Source organism: Homo sapiens, chromosome 9, assembly GCF_000001405.40.
Source record: "Homo sapiens chromosome 9, GRCh38.p14 Primary Assembly".
Taxonomy (NCBI): Eukaryota; Metazoa; Chordata; class Mammalia; order Primates; family Hominidae; genus Homo; species Homo sapiens.
This window is the reverse complement of record NC_000009.12, coordinates 98,201,055-98,220,552: the sequence shown is the minus strand read 5'-3', so window position 1 is coordinate 98,220,552 and position 19,498 is coordinate 98,201,055. Positions and strand designations below refer to the sequence as shown.

The following is a 19,498-nucleotide window of genomic DNA, read 5'->3' as shown; positions in this document are numbered from 1 at the left end:
TCAAATGAGAGATGAAAGCCTGACTAGCTAAGTGTGGGGCCTGGCCTGGTCAACCTCCCTTAGTGCCATCCCAGTGCACCCGAGAGCCCTAAGGGGCCAGCACGACCCTCCCCCCACAGTCCTGCGCCTGCACACTGTACGGATGACCTGCAGCTGCCAATAGTCACTGCTCCCATCTGTAGAATTTATAGGGTGTTTCCTGTGTGCCAGGCACTGCCCTCGGTGGGTGCATCGCCACATTTAGTCCTCGCGCCAGCCCTGTGAGGTGAGGCAGCCGCTGGTGTGCTCCCCCTTTACAGATGTGGAATGCTGAGGCTGAGAAAGGTTAAGGAGCCTGCCCAGGGTCATGTGCTGAAGAAGTGGAGGAGCTGGAGCTGGGCTGGAGCTCATGTCTGCGGTCTGGTCTGTCTGCTCAGCTGCCGCTTCTAGCTGCTGCCACCATCCCTGCTCCTCCTTTCCTCCCCTTCCTTCCCCTTCTCTGTCCCTATCTTTCCCTAGGCTTCCCCACCCCACAGGGACCAGTGATGTCACAGGAGGTAGGAACTTTATGTGAAGTGTGTTGCCTGCCGTGACCCGCAGCCTCCTCTCTAAAGGGTTGTGACAGGAACTGTCCCACTGGGAGGCCTGTGGCTGTGGAGTGCACTCATAGCCTCCACTGTCCGTAAAGGGAGCCATACAACCAGAGTTCGTCCTGCCCCAAACCCTGCCACTCACAACCACATATGTACAGTCAGATGCCATATAACAGGCTGCATATGTGATGGTCCCATAAGATTACAATGAAGCAGAAAAATCCCTGTCACATAGTGACATCATAGCCGTCATAACATCATAGCACAACATGCTACCTTTTCTATGTTTACATGTGTTTAGATACACAAATGCCATTATGTGACAGCCACCTATGGTATTCAGTACCGTAACAGGTGCACAGGTCTGCAGCCTCGGAGCAATAGGCTACACCATCTAGCTGGGTGCGTAGTAGGCTAAATCACCTAGGTTTGTCTGCGTCCAGTCTACAATGTTTGCACAACAGTGAAATCACCTAATGACGCATTTCTCAGAGTGTATCCTCATAATTAAGCCACACGAGACTGTACATATAGACTTATAACCTTGAGAACTCTCATGCTACTCTATCAAAGAACTACTCGGTGAGGGCAGATGGAGAAAGAAAAAAAAAGAAATCAGGAAGCTTTTGAGAGAAAAGCTCTCAGTGGGCAGTGTTGAACAGTGGCCACCACCCAAGCTTTGAAGTCAGACTGACCTCTTTGACTCTTGGCTCTGCCTCTTTCTGGCTGTGTGACTTTAGGCATGTTAGCTCACCTCTGTGTCAAATAGCCCAACTAGTCCTCTTGACTAGGGCTGTTAGAAGGATAAAGGAAAAGGACGTGAAACCTGATTCCCTTCCCTTTCTTTCAGCAAAGACTGAAAACCCACATAACCAGTTCCCGAATCTTTTCCCTTATTTAGTCTGAAATCAGAGATTCTTTTGGGTTAAAAGAAAAACATAACCTTTCCAATGCAAATGCAGCCAGATGATTAGAAAGCTCTCAGCCCTCCACACAGCAGGGAAAACTGCTTCCATCTGATTGCTTTTCTACCCTGCCTGCCCCCAGCCAGGCGGCTTCCTCTTCTCTCCACCCATACTGCCGGAATCCACTGTGCAAGCCCCGGTAGAGCAGCACAGGGGTCAGAAAGATTTGTGGTGGCGCACGCCTGTGTTCCCGTCTACTCTGGAGGCCGAGGTGGGAGGATCGCTTGAGCCCACGAGGTGGAGGTTGCAGTGAGCTGAGATTGTGCCACTGCACTCCAACCTGGGTGAAGGAGTGAAACACCATCTCAAAGGAAAAAAAAGAACACTAGATCAGCCAGGTGGCTCCAGACAGCCTGAGAGTTGATTGTAATCATGGACTCACTAGGAGACTGAGTGTGCCCCTGAATTTACATATTCAGGAATTTTATTTTTTTTTATTTTTATTTTTTGAGACGGAGTCTTGCTCTGTCACCCAGCCTGGAGTGCAGTGGCGCGGTCTCGGCTCACTGCAAGCTCCGCCTCCCAGGTTCACGCCATTCTCCTGCCTCAGCCTCCTGAGTAGCTGGGACTACAGGTGCCCGCCACCATGCCCGGCTAATTTTTTTGTATTTTTAGTAGAGACGGGGTTTCACCATGTTAGCCAGGATGGTCTTGATCTCCTGACCGCGTGATCTGCCTGCCTCGGCCTCCCAAAGTGCTGGGATTACAGGTGTGAGCCACCGCACCTGGCCATGAATTTTCTTTATCAGTGAGCTCAGCTACATGGAGACTCTGGGTATGTGATTCACATTAACCAAGAATACACTTGCATATGATCCTCAGAGGCCCAGTGTTTTGTGCTTTGTGCTTTAAAGGGTTGCATAAGGCCAGGCATGGGTGGCTCACACCTGTAATGCCAGCATTTGGGGAGGCTGTGGCAGGAGGATTACTTGAGGCCAGGAGTTAGAGACAAGCCGGGGAAACATAGCAAGATCTCATCTCTACAAAAAATTAAAAAATTAGCCAGGCACAGTAGCACGTGCCTGTAGTCCCAGCTACTTGGGAAGCTGAAGCTAGAGGATTGCTTAAGCCCAGGAGTTCATGACCAGCCTAGGCAACATAGCAAGACCCTGTCTCTAAAAAAAAATAAAATAAATTCACTAGGTATGAAGGCACCCGCCATAGTCCTAGCTACTCAGAAGGCTGAGGTGGGAGATTACTTGAGCCGCCCAGGAGTTCGAGGCTGTGGTGAACTGTGATCACGCCACTGCACTCCAGCCTGGACAACAGAGTAAGACACTGTCTCTATTAAAAAAAAAATAAAAAAGAGAAAGAGTTGCATGTAGTTGGTGTTCCTTAGTTTTTAGCTTTTAGAATACCCATCAAATATCCATTGTCTTGAGTTTGAGGACAGAGAATGTTGAGGTTTCCTGCCTGCCCTGTGATTGAGGAACCCAACTTTAGGGAATGCCCCTTGTTATTCAGACTTTGGTTTTGAGAACAGGATCACTGACCTCTTGAATATCAGATCTGGAAAGACTCAGAAATCTAGTCTGCCCCACTCATTTTCTGGCAGGGACAGCTGAGCTGGGGCAAGGGAGAAGGACTGGCCCAGGGTCAGGCAGCAAGAGGCAGGGCTACAGCCGGAACCTGGCCTCCCATGCCCAGGCCACTGCCTTCCACACAGCACAGGGCCTAGTCCATGGGCATGGCCCAAAGAGAATTCCCGGGCTCCTGCTTCCCTGGTCCCCCTTCTCCAGGGTTTTCCTTCTTTCATTCCACTGGTGACTGTCCTGTGGCTTTTCTCTTTTCTGAGGTTTCTCTTTTTCCTCCCTACAGTTCTGAGCCAAGACGAGCACTCAAGGTAGGGCATCGAGCTGGAGGGGGAGGTACTGCCCGACGCCACCCACTGCCACTGCTGTTCCAGGCTGTGCTCACTCTGCCTCCCTGTCCGGCATGTCTGTGCCTTCCCTAGAGCTGGAAGCAGGGTATCTTATGTGACAAAAGCCTTCTTTCCAAAGCCTTAGAAATAACAGTGTGTAGCCAAGCGTGGTGGCTCACAATCCAGTGCTTTGAGAGGCCACGGTTGGAGGATTGCATGAGGCCAGGAGTTTGAGACCAGCCTAGGCAACATAATGAGACCTTTTTAAAAAATTAAAAATTAATTAGCTGGGTGTAGTGGCACACACTTGTAGTCCCAACTACTCAGGGGCCTGAGACAGGAGGATCACTTGAGCCCAGGAGGTCAAGAGTGCAGTGAGCTATGATCATGCCATTGCATTCCAGCCTGGGTGACAAAGTGAGACCCTTTCTCTAAAAATAAAAAAAGAAAGAAAAATAAATAAATATCCATGAGCACATCTAGGCCTGGGAGGAGGAAGGGGTGATATCAAGGAGGGAGACCCAGTGGTGTGGAGCAGTGGCCAGCGCCAGAGCTGGGTCTGCTTTCTCTACGCAGTGTCTGCTGAGCACCTGCCATGGGCTGAACACACCTGGGTTTGGATCCTGGCTCTCTTTCGTGACAAGGGGAACTTACTTTCTCTGTGTGTGTTTCCTCATCTGTTAAATGGGAATTAGGGCACTTTAATAGTTATCCCACAGCCTTGTGGATATGAGGGAGATGGGTCAGGTCATGGTAGGTCCTTTCCTCCCTTGCGGGGGGGCTTGTTGTATTTTCCCGGGCATTGGATTCCGAACTCTGTGAGCCGACTGAGGGGGTGGGTGCAGGGTGGGGAATAGTAGCTCTCGAGCTGTCATGCAAACTCAGTGAGGGAGACGATGCTCACGCTCACGTTGCACTTGCCACATGCCAGGCACCGTTCTGAGCCTTTTGCACATATTAACTCACTGAATCCTCTCCCAGCCACATGAGGTAGTACTGTTATTATCCTCATTTTCCAGATGAGAGGATGAGGTTAAGTAACTTGTCCAGGGGCTCAGTGGTCAAGACAGAATTTCCACCCAGACAGCGTGCCCGCAGCATTCATGCCACTGACCACCAGGCGGTGCCGGTACATGGCCAACTCCAGCGTCTTTGATGTGTTGTTATACTGTCTGATGGGTAGGAGAGGTCACATAAGCCTGCATGCGTGTAGCCAGGAGACACCAAAGGACAACGCTTGGAGGGTAGGGACTAGAGTGTGGGCATCCAGGTGGATTCCAGCTGGTGGGGAGCTCAGATGGTGCCCGGCAGGAAGTTTGGTGATTAGGGCTTTAGAATGAGACAGTCCTGGCCAGGCACAGTGGCTCATGCCTGTAATCCTAACACTTTAGGAGGCCGAGGTGGAAGGATTGCTTGAGGCCAGGAGTTTGAAAACAGCCTGGGAAACATAGTGAGACCTCGTCTCTACAAAATCAAAAAATTAGCTAGGCATGGTGGTGCCTGCCTATAGTCCCAGCTACTTGACAGGCTGAGGTGGGAGGATTGCTTGAGTCCAGGAGGTCGAGGCTGCCATGAGCTATGATCACGCCACTGTACTCCAGCTTGGGCGACAGAGCAAGACAAACAAACAAAAAGAATCAGACAGACCTGGGTTTGGTCACATCTGCCTTATACTGGCTGTGCCTTAGGCAAGTTGCCTACCCTTTCAGAGCCTCTGAGGCCTCATCTGTGTCATAGGAATAATAAAAGAACATCCCTTCTAGGGTTGCTAGGAGGATGAAGTGAGAGAATATATGCTGCGTGGTGTTGGTGATGGGGGTGATGCCGGAAGCCTGCACAGCCTCTGTATTCATAAGTTTCTATATCTCCAGACAGTAAAGTGTTAGACTCCAGAGAGAGTGGGGAGTGGTCCAGGAAAGGCCTGATGCTCATGGGAGACTGGTCCCTGTGCCACAAACAAGATTTTCACTTCTTGCCACATAAGGATAGGATATGGGGACTGTGGAGAAGAAGCAGGCAGAAACTTGCCAGCAGAGCGGCTGGCGCACACAGCAGCATTTTTGAGAGGCAGTGAAGCTGGTTTTTTATCTAGGTCAGGGACAGGATTGGATAGGGGGAGGAGGGTGGCGCCAGGGGTTGGAACTGCCTGGGTCCAGCCAGAAGGCAGAGAGCAAGCTGAGTGGATGCACAGCCTTTCAGCCTTGGCACAGCGAGGGAGATGAAAGCAGGGGTGGCCTGGGTTGGGGCACCACAGAGAGCCCCCGTGGAGTGGTGAGGGGTGATGTGATAAAGTCAACAGGGGGCATTCGTTCCCTCCCCTGGGAGCAGAGGCCCTTCTAGTGTGTCAGGCTCTGGGCGGAGGGCAGCAGCCCCTGGGCAGGCATCGGAGCTTCCAGCCTGGGGAGACCTTGGAGATCATCTTGGCCAGAGTGAAGACCCACCCAGGGAGGGCCAGGACCACCTGTGGGCTGTGCACATGTGACCCTGACGAGGATGTGCCCCAAACTACATGTGATGTTCTTCATTTCCAAATCAATCTGGCCACGTCGGAGTCATCCTTGCTGCAGCATCGCTTGCACATGTGATGTTCTTCATTTCCAAATCAACCTGGCCACGTCGGAGTCATCCTTGCTGCAGCATCGCTTGCACATGTGATGTTCTTCATTTCCAAATCAACCTGGCCACGTCGGAGTCATCCTTGCTGCAGCATCGCTTGCACATGTGATGTTCTTCATTTCCAAATCAACCTGGCCACGTCGGAGTCATCCTTGCTGCAGCATCGCTTGCACATGTGATGTTCTTCATTTCCAAATCAACCTGGCCACGTCGGAGTCATCCTTGCTGCAGCATCGCTTGCACATGTGATGTTCTTCATTTCCAAATCAATCTGGCCACGTCGGAGTCATCCTTGCTGCAGCATCGCTTGCACATGTGATGTTCTTCATTTCCAAATCAACCTGGCCATGTCGGAGTCATCCTTGCTGCAGCATCGCTTGCACTCACCTCCAGCCCATACATCAATGGGAGAGAAAGGGCCTGAGTTTCAGCCAGTAAATACCCTGGAATTGTGAGGTATAGCTCTAAGAATGTGTTACGTGACTGAACGGCTTCTGTAATGTCCATCCCAGCAGAATTGAGAGCCACTGCTATAGCTGATCCTTCTCTGAGGCTCAGGTCCTTGCTTGAACCTTCCCAGTGCTTGTCTGGCTTCTCCTTGTATGCCCCAGCAGCAGGGAGCTCATTCCCTCCACTGGATGGGCAACTTGCAAAAGGAAAACTCAGAGATGTTTATCACAGCATTATTCATAATCAAAAACCAACTGCAAACACCCCAGGTTCAAATTAAAAAATGACAGGAAAAGGATTATGAGTAAGTTCTGGTAAATTCACCCAATAGAATCATCACCAGAGGTTAAAAATGATCACTGGGAAGCTTATGTAGCAACATTGAAAGGTTTTACAAAGTGACACTGAGTTAATTTTACAGTATGATTGTAAATATATGATAAAATATGTTGATTTTAAAAACAAACACTACTTGAGCACTTGCTATGTTTTGGTCCCTGTACTTAGTGTTGTCACACATTATCTCACTTAGTTTCCCAACTGCCCAGTAGGTTAGTTGGTATTTGCCCCTTTTACAGATGAGGAAACAGAGGGTCAGAGTGGTTCAGTGGCCTGCCTGAGGCCTTCCAGCCAGAACATCAGCCAGGACTTAAATTCAGACCTACTGGTCCCTTTACCACATCATGCTGACATCAAGAATAGAGAAGGGTGCTATGAGTATTTTATTTTTCTTTCAGACTTCCTCTTCTGTTGCCATTATTGGAAATTTCTAAGGAAAAGAAGCTTTGGGGGCTCATTTGAGGGTGTGACTCCCCAGGACCAGGGAGATGTTTATGTCCAACTGATAACATATTTTACTCTCTTCTCCAGGATGACATGGAAGCTTACCGGACCCAGAACTGCTTCCTCAACTCCGAGATCCACCAGGTCACAAAGATCTGGAGAAAGGTGGCTGAGAAGGAGAAGGCCCTTCTGACGAAGGTGCGGGGTGGGGCCCTATTCCAGCCGTCTCCATCCCTGGCCCCTCTGCTGGTCCCCATGCTGCCCACTCCGTCTCACTCTCCTCATTTCCTGTCTGCCCCTCTCCCTCTGAACTGACCCCTTGTGAGCAGGGCCCATATCAGGTTCTTCTCCAGACCCCTGTGGTCGGGGGATTGAGTCATTTGTTCCGCAGCGTTCACTGAGTAGCTGTGGGGTAGGGACATCAAGACCAATAAGGCTGGTTCCTGCCTACAAGGAGGGTATAGACTAGTGAGGGAGTGTAACCCAATCAAGATGTACTTGGGGCCAGGCGTGGTGGCTCACACCTGTAATCCCAGCACTTTAGGAGGCCGAGGCGGGTGGATCACAAGGTCAGGAGATTGAGACCATCCTGGCCAACACGGTGAAACCCCATCTCTACTAAATATACAAAAAAAAATTAGCCGGGCATGGTGGCGGGCGCCTGCAGTCCCGGCCACCCGGGAGGCTGAGGCAGGAGAATGGCGTGAACCTGGGAGGCGGAGCTTGCAGTGAGCCGAGATTGCGCCACTGCACTCCAGCCTGGGCAACAGAGCAAGACTCTGTCTCAAAAAAAAAAAAAGATGCACTTGGACTTGTGGGATTCTTGGGGGCCCAAAGGGAGGAAGGAAAGTCAGGGAGGGCTTCCTGGAGGAGGTACCTTCTGAATTGAGTCCTAAGGATGAGTTAATGTTATCCAGGCAAGCAGTGGAGAAGGACCTTCCAGGAAAAGAGACAGCATAGTAAAGACGTGTGGTCTGAGAGGTGGGGGGCAGGGCTAGGGAGAGTGAGACATGAGGCTGGAGTTGAGGAGTTTGGAATTTACTCCAAGGAAACTGGGGAGCTGAAGGATTCTGAGTGGAGAAGTCCTCAATCAGACTTCTGTTCCTGTTCCAAGAAGACTGCTGTGACTGCTCAGGAGGGTGGGCTTGAGAAGGTGGGCCTGGAAGTAGGGAGATTGTTTGGAATCAGCAGCAGAAATCCCTGAGAAGGGGCCAGGTGCGGTGGCACAGGCCTGTAATCCCAGCGCTTTGGGAGGCCGAGGCAGGTGGATCCCTTGGGGCTAGAGTTCAAGACCAGCCTGGGCAACATGGTGAAGCCCCGCCTCTACCAAAAATACAAAAATTAGCTGGGCGTGGTGGTGCACACCTGTAATCCCAGCTACTCAGGAGGCTGAGGCACGAGAATCATTTGAACCCCGGAGGTAGAGGTTGCAGTGAGCCAAGATCATGCCACTGCACTCCAGCTTGGATGACAGAGCGAGACTCTCTCAGGAAAAAAAAAAAAAAGGAATCCCTGAAACAGGTGTTAACGATGGGACTCAGGAAGCAGCCCAGGCAACAGAGGTGGGCACCAGGTGGGATAGGTAGAAGAACAGGCACAGAGGATGGCTTGGAGCTGGTGCCCGGCAAGTGTTTGGAGATGGCGACCGGGCAAGGGTGCAACAGAATTGTTCCCCTGCTGCCACCCCAGGATGAGATAGGATTCGGGGTGGCCCAGAGATCATGGCAGTGCTATGAGTGGATTTTCACTGTCCCCATCTCACAAAAATGGAAAACAAGGAACTTGCCTGACTTGCCTAGCACCACCCAGCTTGTATAAATGTAAACACAAAAGTTCAAGGTGAGGTAGGGTTGGGGGGAGTGTCCCAAGCAAGGGAAGAGGGTGCAGGAGGGCTGTGAAGTGGGAGGGGTGTGTGTTGGAGGAACAGAAGGAGCCTAGGTGGCAGCAGCAGAGGGCATGAGGGCAGTGTCCATCCCCTGGGCGCTGTTCAGTCATACCACCTGCAGAGCTTGCTCTGTGCCAGGCACCCTGGGAAGGGCTTTATACACATCCGCTCATCTGATCCTCACCCAAATCCTCAGGCAGACTCTGTATGATCCTCATTTTACAGATGAAGAAGTTAAGGCACAGAAAGGTTAAGTAACTTGCCACAGACCACCCAGCTAGCAGTGGCTGAACCAGGATGGGACTGTAAGCTGTGTAAGAGCCTGTGCTGTCTCTGCACACCCCTCTCCTCTTTCTTCTGAACCAGCTCCAACCTGGGCCTGGGCCTCTCTTGCCTGCCTTGCTGTAAACCACTGGCCTCAGGGCCCATCTCCTTTCCCTTATACGAAGGTCTGGGAGTTGGGAGTGGGGCAGATGAGAGCTGGAAGGGCTGTGCTGCCTAAAGCTGTTCAGGCCTCAGGCCTCTGGGGCGGCCCAGCTCCCACCCGGTAGCCTGACCAGCCTTTCCCTGTTTGCAGTGCGCCTACCTCCAAGCCAGAAACTGCCAGGTGGAAAGCAAGTACCTGGCCGGTCTGAGAAGGCTGCAGGAGGCCCTGGGGGACGAAGCCAGCGAGTGCTCAGAGCTGCTGAGGCAGCTTGTCCAGGAGGCACTGCAGTGGGAAGCTGGGGAGGCCTCATCTGACAGCATCGAGCTGAGCCCCATCAGGTGAGCCTGGCGGCCCAGGAAGGGCTGGTCTATGTGAGCTGGCGGCTCCTCCCCAGCTGCCTTGCTGCCAGGTCCTGCCAACCATGTACAAGTCCTACACAGCACTACCTCCTCTGATCTTCACATGCATTAGTGTGCGGCTGCAGCTGAGATGGTTCACGCTCAGAGGAGGCAGCCCCCTGCCATGGCCCTATAGTACATTTGCGGCACAGGCTGCCTCCAGAGCCCCATGCTTTCCATTTATCTAGGCTGCCTCCCAAATGTGGCTGCCTCCCAGATGTGCCTGTCAGAGAGGGGACGAGGGGAGACAAGCAGGCCATCTCCTCTGCACCAAGGCCTTGCTGAGCACAGTGGACATGGGCAGTTAAATATAACAGAAAGGAGGGTGGCTATGCTCGAAGGCCCCTGGAGGCTGAGTAGTCCAGTGGCAGGAGCTCGAGCTTTGGAGCCAGCCCTGGCCCTCTCACCGTGTGACAATTCCCTTTACCTTTCTGAGCCTCGTACTCAGCCTCCATAAGATATGTGCAAAGAGCTGGGCACAGTGGCTCATGCCTGTAATTCCAGCACTTTGGGAGGCTGAGATGGGCAGATTGCTTGAGGCCAGGAGTTTGAGCCCAGCCTGGGCAATATATTGGAATCCTGTCTCTACAAAAAAAAAAAAAAAAGAAGAGTGGTGGTGCACGCCTGTAGTCCCAGCTACTCGGAAGGCTGAGGTGGGAGGATCACTTGAGCCCAGAAGGTAGAAGCTGCAATGAGCTGAGATTGCAGCACTGCAGTCCAGCCTGGGCAACAGAGTGAGGCCCTGAAAAGAAAAGAAAAGAAAGGAAGGGGGGAAGGGAGGGAAAGAAAGAAAGAAAAAGAAAGGAAGGAAGGAAGGAAGGAAGGAAGGAAGGAAGGAAAGGAAGGAAGGAAAGGAAAGAAGGAAGGAAGGAAGGAAAAAAAAAAGATTTAGGCAAACACACCTGCTTTGCAGGATCATTAGGATTAAATGAGATAGTGCAGGCAGGGCACAGAGTGGAGGTGAGTCAACATTGAATAAATCAAAGGCCTTCTGGAACGGGTCCCCAGCTGTCCCACCTGTCTGTCATTGGTGCTGTCTGTTCCCCGTCCACCCCTGCGCTTACTGGCTGTGGTAAGTGGGGTTCTGTATGCACAGTGCAGGACTCCTTGGGCCTAAGGCTGCATGGAGTAATAAGAGGGTCCTTTATATTTGCATAGAATTAGTAAATATCTCTTGGGCATTTACTGTGTACCAGGCACTATCTAGGCCCCCAGCATCTTACAACAGAGGATCTCGTTGGGTCTTTAGGAGGCAGAGCAGGGATTCCCATATGCATTATACAGATTCGCAATCTGAGGTTGGGAGAACTGAAGTGACCTGCCCAGAGCTGTGTGGTTAACCCTCAGTGAAGGCAGGGCAGGAACCTGGCCTGGGGTCCTCCCTGTCACCACCACCCCTTATCTAGGGAAGGGCTCTGCAAGGTGTTGCTAACGTGCACTTTTGCTGGCAGTAAGTATGATGAGTACGGCTTCCTGACGGTGCCCGACTATGAGGTGGAAGACCTGAAGCTGCTGGCCAAGATCCAGGCATTGGAGTCACGATCCCACCACCTGCTGGGCCTCGAGGCTGTGGATCGGCCGCTGAGGGAGCGCTGGGCTGCCCTGGGCGATCTTGTGCCCTCAGCCGAGCTCAAGCAGCTACTGCGGGCAGGAGTACCCCGTGAACACCGGCCTCGTGTCTGGAGGTGGCTGGTCCACCTCCGTGTCCAGCACCTGCACACTCCAGGCTGCTACCAGGAACTGCTGAGCCGGGGCCAGGCCCGCGAGCACCCTGCTGCCCGCCAGATTGAGCTGGACCTGAACCGGACCTTCCCCAACAACAAACACTTCACCTGCCCCACCTCCAGCTTCCCCGACAAGCTCCGCCGGGTGCTGCTGGCCTTCTCCTGGCAGAACCCCACCATCGGCTACTGCCAGGGCCTGAACAGGTAAGCCACCAAAGCCCAGTGAAGGTGTGATCTTTACCTTTTGGAGCGCAGGTCCCCAACCCTCAGACTGTGGACAGGCAGCCATCTGTGGCCTGTTAAGGGGCCGCACAGCAGGAGGTGAGCAGTGGGCGAGAGAGCATTACCACCTGAGCTCTGCCTCCTGTCAGATCAGCGGCAGCATTAGATTCTCACAGGAGCGTGAACCCTATTGTGAACTCTGCATGCGAGGGATCTAGGTTATGTGTTCCTTATGAGAATCTAATGCCTGATGATCTGAGGTGGAGCAGTTTCAAAGCCACCCCTCCCCTACCCCAGTCCATGGAAAAATTGTCTTTCATGAAACCGGTCCCTAGTGCCAAAAAGGTTGGGGACCGTTGTTTTAGAGCACTGCTGTCTCTCTTTGGAGCCTCCCAAGAACCTGAAGACATGAGCCTAGGTTCCCCACCCACAGGCTGGTGAGAGGACATGTTCAAGACAGAGATGGGCCAGAGCTCAGAGCTCCAGGCCCCTCGTCCCTGCTCTCTCCTTTGATTTGTGCTTGGGGACGTACAACTTACATGGCCTCTCAAACTTTGGCCTGCTGGAATCTACAGGGTAAGGCCCCACTCACATATGGCAGGACTCTCTGGATCAGGAATCATTCGCTTTCAGTGAAACCCATGCAGAAGACCCGGGGAAAAGAGACTTTCTAAATGTTACAAGGGGAGTTCACAGAAGCCAGGAAAAGAAAACACAGCTGAGGACCAGATGGTCATTGGAAGCCAAGGCAGCTGCTGTCTGCAGCAGGGCTGCACCCCTGCACAACCCCAGGGGGCAGCCTTCATGCCACAGTCCTGGGATGCCATGACCTGAGCTCGTATAGCACCAAGGTACTGCTCTGCTGCCCTCTGCAGCTGCATGGCCTCTGGCCTCTCTTCATTCTGCGTGTCTGCTTCCTTCTCTCTCAGCAGACCAGCCTCTGTCCATTCATTCATTGGACATTTAGGGACCATCGAAGCTGTTAGAATGGAGACCTCAGCCCCTGAGTCTTGAGCCTTTCAGTGAGTCTTCCCACCCCACCCCTCATGTTCCAGTTCTAAATTCCCCAAAGAAAAAATCTGATTGGCCCAGCCAGGAATAATTTCCACTTCTGGTCCAATTGGTAGGGGACGCAGGGAGGGACTGGGGTTAGGGGATGAGGTCACCTGGTTCACAGGGCTATCTCCCCTCCAAGACTGTGAGGGACTGTCATCCCCCCGCTCCAGCCCCAGCTATTTCAGTAGAAGCTGCATAGTTGCAAATATTTTCCCAAAGCAAGTTTTCACTCGATTTAATTTAAACACACATATACCTAAGCAAAATTTACATAAGCCATGCTGCTTTTTTTTAGAATAGGTGGTGTGTGACATTTATTTAACACAGAATCAACATTCAGTGTCCTTACTCAAATTTGAGTGGTTCCCAAAGGTAGATATTTTTCATACTCTATTTCCAGCCTAAAATTGGGTGAAATTGAGCATGTGTATGTACAATTCCTGGGAATTAAGAGTTAAACTCCAACAGTAATGCCTCTCAGTCGAAGCCTCCTTGGAAAATATGTTCAGATTTCATGCCACACTAAACGTCTGCCACAGGTCAGGTCTGTAGAAATTTCATTCATTCAACAGTCTGACAAAAGCCCCTGTACTTCTCATTTGTTTGAACATGTTAAAATCCAGAAGAAACAAAACCTGCAAAGCCTCTTCTAAGAATAGCTGTGAAGGGAGCTGGAAGCTATGAGATCAGAATGAATAATAATTTTTGCATTTCACACAAAAGCCAGGTAGGAAGTAAAGCATAATGGGGGCCTCTTGGATGCCAGGTGTTTAACACCTGATGGCATCTAATCCTCACAAAAACCTTCACTGGTGCCACCATGCCCAGATGAGACATGAGAGGGTCTGAGAGGCTGAGGAACCTGCCCGTTGTCTCACCACAAATGCTGACCCAGCCAACTGCTCACCCTGGCCCCCCGCCCCCAGCCCCCAAACCCAGTCCTTTCTACAACCTGCTCTCTCTCCAAATAGCAGTAGTCAGAGGCTGTGCTGAGGCCTCCCAGAAACCTTTCCCCTATGTGGATGTAACCTTCTCGAGACCTGCTTTTGGAGTTCAACCTGTGCTGAAGGGGCAGAGAAAAATCCTATGGCAGGAGGGGCACTTGAGATAAGCCTCATAGGAGGAGAGAAGCTTCTCCCTGTGTGGAAGGAGGCAGCACACAGGCCACAGAGAGGCGCAGAAGGGACAACTGAGGCCAAGAGAGGCGGAAGGTCCCCAGACGGGTTTTCTAAAATATCTTTCTCTGAATAGCATTTTTACTTAAATTTGATATGCAAATGCAGATAATTGGTATTCATGTAAATATTTACTGCTTAAAACAGAAAGTTACTTGTAATAGGCCAGGCACAGTGGCTCACGCCTGTAATCCCAGCACTTTGGGAGGCTGAGGCAGGCAGATCACGAGGTCAAAAGATCGAGACCATCCTGGCCAACATGGTGAAACCTTGTCTCTACTAAAAATACAACAATTAGCTGCCTCAGGAGGCTGAGGCAGGAGAATCACTTGAACCAGGGAGGCAGAGGTTGCAGTGAGCCGAGATCGCACCACTGCACTCCAGCCTGGTGACAGAGCAAGACTCCATCTCGAAAAAAGAGAAAGTTACTTATAATAGAAAGCCTGTTCAAATGTGGCAAGTGCAACGTATTCTTTTGGAGGCTCTAAACCCAAGCCTGCAGGTCCCTGATACGTCTTCTTTGCCATCTAGTGGTAGCCATTAGAACTGCATGTGTGGGCCCGGCGCCGTGGCTCACGCCTGTAATTCCCGCATTTTGAGGGGCCGAGGTGGGTGGATCCCTTGAGCCCAGGAGTTTGAGACAGCCTGGACAACATGGCAAAGCCCTGTCAAAAAATACAAAAAATTAAAAAAACGAAAAACAAGAAACAACCTAACAACCTAGCCAAGTGTGGTGGCACATGCCTGTAGTTCTAGCTACTCGGGAGGCTGAGGTGATAAGGAGGCAGAGGTTGCAGTGAGCCATGATCATGCCACTGCACTCTAGCCTGGGCAACAGAGTGAGTCTCTGTCTCAAAAAAAGAAAAGAAAAGGAACTGCATGTTTGATGTCTCAAGATGACAGACCCTGCCTCTAAGGCAACAAATCCAGCTTGTTTAGTGATGGTCTAATGCTAATTTAGAGCAAATGTTTTAAACCTATGAAAATAAGTACAGTGCTCTAAAAGTGGTTTGTTTTTCCCCCATCAACACACTCCTTTCTTTGCAAGCCTACCTGGGCCCTAAATGCCTTAGGTTCGAATTCAGCCATACACCTGAGCAGTTAGTAAGCCCTAGCAACCAGCCTCAGATAACTGAGTTTTTAACATGTGCTGAAGTCTAAACCAATGCTGGCAGCTAACTCCCTAGACTGAGGCCATTCTGAGGCTCAGGGGGAACAGGGTGGGATAGAGTGGAGAGAGCACTGGGCTAGACTTTGGGAGCCCTGGGTTCTGTTTCCACTCTGCCACCAACTGACTATGTAATGTTGAGCAGGTAACTTCTGCTTTCTAAGCCTTGGTTTTTCCACCACTGCAATAAGGAGTTTGTTTAGACCAGAGATGACCAGTAGGAAGCAGCTACCTGGAGCCCTGTCCTGAGAGAGTTTCTGAGGCAGCCTTCAGACTCAGTGGGAAAGAGTACTGTGATCAATTACTTATGTCTACCATGGGCTTAGACAAAGGGAATGCTGCCATGATCAGTTAGTTATGTCTGCCCTGGGCACAGACGAAAAGGATAGAGGCCAGTGTATCTCACGTTTGCTATCCTTGAACTCAGTGACCTATGGAGGTCCCTCCCCACCAGCTCTGAGAGAACGGAGCTTCCTATTTCCCAGGAGACCTGTGACTGTTCTCTTCATCCACTCAGCTTCGACTTAGGAAGGTTTTGTACAAATATCTGAACCAAATTTGGGAGAAATTCCTTCCCAATCTACTGGGGAAAGAGAAGGGATATTTCTTTTTTCTTTTGAGATTCAACCATGTTTCTAAGAGTTGTGAGCCTCAAAAGAAGGTGGAGGTCATGAATCCAATCTAGAGAGAACCCAAAGAAGCATAAATATCTGGATGAGGGAATGTGTTCCTTAAATGCTCGTTATGACCAGAGAGTCAGAGGCTTTCTAAAGCGACATCTCTCCAGGGTCCTCTGAGGAACATTCATTCTACTAGGCCCCCATGGGTGCAATGGACAACAGGGGCTCTGTGGACCCCCTGGGCGACCCTGGGTTAGAGTCAGCCACACAGCGTTTTGTCACCACAGGACTTCTCAGAGGCTTTACTAAGACAGTGTGTGTCATAAGCCTCTCAGGGGCTAGAATGGGCAGCATTCCCCAGATATCTTTGAATATAGAACCTTGTGTTCACCTAGCATCTTGGGAGACCAGTAGTCCCTGGAAGACATTTTTGGAAAATGACTTCTTGGATTGGCCCGGGATGAGAGCTGCCAGGGAAGATGGGAGAAGTAGAGAAAACAGTACTTATCCCAGGAAGACTTCCCTGCTCAGCCCTGTGGGTTTTTGTTTGTTTCTTACCCATGATTTCATTAGAGCCTTATGCTAACTTGGCGGGGAGGGGAAGTAAAGGAGAAAAAAAGCTATGTGCATTGAGCACCTCCTAAATGCCAGGCAGTGAGCGAGGCAAGGTAGGTCTGTCTCAAGATGCCTCTTGGCCCCGGGGGGATAGATATTGTTAATCTCACTTTACAGATCATGAAACCAAGGCCCAGAGAGGTTAGTGTACTTGCCAAGGTCTCAAAGCCTGTGAATACTAAGGTGAGGATAGCTAACATTTATAAAGAGCTCACTGTGTGGCAGGCACTGTGTGGGGCACTGAATGAGCTCTGTTCATCCTCAAAATAGTCCTGTGATTATTATGAGACTGAGGCTTACAGGGGTTCAGTAACTTGCCCAAGGTCACCCAGGAAGCCACAAGATCAGGATTTACCCAAGCAGCCTGATTTCAGAGCCCCTGCTCTGAAGTGACCCCCATTGCTCTGGAAATCGCCGGTCATCCTCCCCAAAAGAGCGTTTATCTCACCCCAGGTGCCAGGAGCACAAATCTGGTTAGGGAGTGGGATTGCACTGATGCTCACATGGAAGGACTTTCCCCCTGGAACCCAGGAAGCCACCTCTGCCATGTGCTGCCTGGCAGGGCCACGGCTTCTGTAATCACTCCAGGCCTTCCCTACTACTCCAGGCTGGCGGCCATTGCCCTGCTGGTCCTAGAGGAGGAGGAGAGCGCCTTCTGGTGCCTGGTGGCCATTGTGGAGACCATCATGCCCGCTGATTACTACTGCAACACGCTGACGGCATCCCAGGTAAGTGGGGCCAGGAGGGGACTTTGCAGCCATGTAGGGCAGTGCCCCAGAGCTGTTCCTAGAAGCCTGTGACTCTCAGGAAAGTTGGGAATCTCTCGGGCTTCCATTTCTCCCTCTGCACTGTGGGAGTGCATTTGGCTGCATGGAAGAGAAGCCCAACCTAACAACAGCTTCAATCGGGGATTATTATTCTCAGATAGTGAATGACAAGGCAGTACCGCAGGGTTCAGGCTCCTAGCTCCCTGCTCTGCCATCTCTGGCAGGTGGCCTTCATCCTCACACCCATCACCTCCTGGTCACAAAATGGCTGCATCGCCTCCAGCACTGTGGGCATGGCCTAGGCCAGGAGAAGCAGAAGGTGAACACCAGGAGCTGGCTCCCTGACCCAGCAATTTCTACTTGCAGTTTACTGGTCAGAACTATTTCATGGCTGCCCTAGTTGCAAGGCAAGTTAGGAAATGTACATATTTAATTTTTACATCTTAACATCTCTGAAATTGATGTGTGTTATATGACCCTTTTTTCCATATTTTATTATGGAAAATTTCCCACATTCAAAACGATAGAGGGAATAGTATAATGAACCTCCATGTGTCCATTACCTGGCTTCAGTTATCAACCCAGGGAGCCAGTGTTATTTCTTCTGAACTCCCATCCGCTCCTCCTGCTTTGTCTTGAAGTAAATTTCTGGCATTGTATCAGTTCATCCATAAATCCTTCAGTAGGTCAATGGCATCTTAGACTTGGGGAGTTACCTTAGGTTTTGAACTGGACACTTGGCCTCGGTAGATGACCCAAGGTTCTGGGTGAGGGAGGAGGGGAGCTACTGGCTGTTTGCCACAGCTGACGCTAATGCCTGGAAGAGGACATAAGTGAGAGGAGAGGACTGAGCAGTTCCAGGAAAAGCAAGGGGAAACTGAAATGGAGTCATCACAGAGGGAGGAGGAGAACCACGAAAGAACCATGTCTTGGAGCCAGTGCTGAGAGTGGTTAACCCATCCAGTGAAACAAGGACGGAGGCATGACAGTGGTCACAAGAAGAGGTCACTGGCCAGTGTCGCCAGGAGCACCCTGTTTTGAGAAGATTCCTTGATGTCCGGCGAGGCAGGACATTATGCGTTCCCACACACACCTGTCCCTGGACCAGACATCCGCCTAGCATCTTAGGTGTCAGGCACAAATTGGGTATAGAGAAGGGGCTGTGGTTGTCAGCTGATATAAGCCTAGAGACAAAGCTTCCATTTCGCCAAGGCCCCTGGGCATGAGACCAGTGTCTCTGAACTGCCAGCAGGATCAGCTGGCCCCTGACCTCCTGCTTGGCTCAAGGGATTCAGATGGGTGAGCGGGCGGAGAACGTGCCAGCCCACATGGCTCCACTGCAGAGCCCAGTGCCCCAGTCCAGAGGACTCTGGCCTATATTAGGAGCAGCGGAGTGATATGATGCTGTACCTGACTCCCAGCTAGACTGGCCCCTGGCTCCCCGAGGTGTCTCCTGGGCAGGAAAGGACCTGCCCAGAGCAGCTTCAGGATTGTGTGTGGACTGACTGGGTAGGAAGGCTGGGCAGGGAGGGAGGCAGCCCTACGCTGGGGCTGCAGATGACAGGCCCTCTCGCTGGCTTCCAGGTGGACCAGCGGGTGCTCCAGGACCTGCTCTCGGAGAAGCTGCCCAGGCTGATGGCCCATCTGGGGCAGCACCACGTGGATCTCTCCCTCGTCACCTTCAACTGGTTCCTCGTGGTCTTTGCGGACAGTCTCATTAGCAACATCCTCCTTCGGGTCTGGGATGCCTTCCTGTACGAGGGGACGAAGGTAGGGTGCAGCCAGGGGATGGGCAGGGGGCCCCTGAGCAAGTCCCTTCACCCATCTGCGTCTTGACTCTGCCCCTGGAGAATGGGAAGACAATGCTTACTTGTCAGAGCTGTTGAACGTCTCCTGAGAGCATTGTCAACTGCAAAATGCTTTGCATGTATGAGAAGTAGTGGTTCTGCCTCTGAAGTTGGGGGATTTCCTTTCCGTGGAGAGGAGGTGTGAGCATGATCAGAGAGGCACATCCCTATGCTGTCCTTGCCCCCTAGTCACCTGGGCCCTCCTTTTCTTCCTCCTGTTTGGACTAAACCTTGGATTAAGAGATCGGAGCTCAGGTCTGGACCCAGCTCTGTACTGACCTTGCCCAGAGACCTTGGGCAGGTCCCCCAACTCAGCCCTAGTTTACACCTCAGTTTACAAAGCACCC

General features: G+C 51.5%; 1 protein-coding gene across 10 annotated transcripts in view, besides 5 other annotated features; it reads left to right on the top strand.

The window, feature by feature from the left end:
• The window catches only part of TBC1D2 (TBC1 domain family member 2), a 56,652-nt gene that overhangs the window by 35,097 nt on the left and 2,057 nt on the right, over positions 1 to 19,498 (top strand). For 4 of the 10 annotated variants that reach the window (NR_051978.2, NM_018421.4, NM_001410988.1 and 1 more), the window contains 5 exons: positions 7,335 to 7,445; positions 9,710 to 9,897; positions 11,409 to 11,885; positions 17,145 to 17,265; positions 18,889 to 19,074. Coding sequence is in view for 8 of the 10 variants with exons in the window: in NM_018421.4 (NP_060891.3) it covers positions 7,335 to 7,445; positions 9,710 to 9,897; positions 11,409 to 11,885; positions 17,145 to 17,265; positions 18,889 to 19,074 (1,083 nt within the window). In the remaining 2 variants the exon portion in view is untranslated. The other 6 variants (XM_011518843.3, XM_024447606.2, XM_047423565.1 and 3 more) reach the window with 6 other exon arrangements.
• Positions 1,492 to 1,786: a silencer, noted in NCBI's record as "tiled region #378; K562 Repressive non-DNase unmatched - State 16:ElonW". NCBI's record gives its function as "represses a minimal TATA promoter and a strong SV40 promoter by Sharpr-MPRA in K562 cells {active_cell/tissue: K562}" and the evidence as "EXISTENCE:reporter gene assay evidence [ECO:0000049][PMID:27701403]".
• Positions 17,199 to 17,699: an enhancer, noted in NCBI's record as "H3K4me1 hESC enhancer chr9:100965136-100965636 (GRCh37/hg19 assembly coordinates)". NCBI's record gives its function as "activates a minimal SCP1, AML or CMV promoter by ChIP-STARR-seq in naive H9 embryonic stem cells {active_cell/tissue: H9 hESC(naive)}" and the evidence as "EXISTENCE:reporter gene assay evidence [ECO:0000049][PMID:30033119]".
• Positions 18,323 to 18,822: an enhancer, noted in NCBI's record as "H3K4me1 hESC enhancer chr9:100964013-100964512 (GRCh37/hg19 assembly coordinates)". NCBI's record gives its function as "activates a minimal SCP1, AML or CMV promoter by ChIP-STARR-seq in naive H9 embryonic stem cells {active_cell/tissue: H9 hESC(naive)}" and the evidence as "EXISTENCE:reporter gene assay evidence [ECO:0000049][PMID:30033119]".
• Positions 18,823 to 19,324: an enhancer, noted in NCBI's record as "H3K4me1 hESC enhancer chr9:100963511-100964012 (GRCh37/hg19 assembly coordinates)". NCBI's record gives its function as "activates a minimal SCP1, AML or CMV promoter by ChIP-STARR-seq in naive H9 embryonic stem cells {active_cell/tissue: H9 hESC(naive)}" and the evidence as "EXISTENCE:reporter gene assay evidence [ECO:0000049][PMID:30033119]".
• Positions 19,128 to 19,177: an enhancer, noted in NCBI's record as "active region_28694". NCBI's record gives its function as "activates an Ori minimal core promoter by ATAC-STARR-seq in GM12878 lymphoblastoid cells {active_cell/tissue: GM12878}" and the evidence as "EXISTENCE:reporter gene assay evidence [ECO:0000049][PMID:35858748]".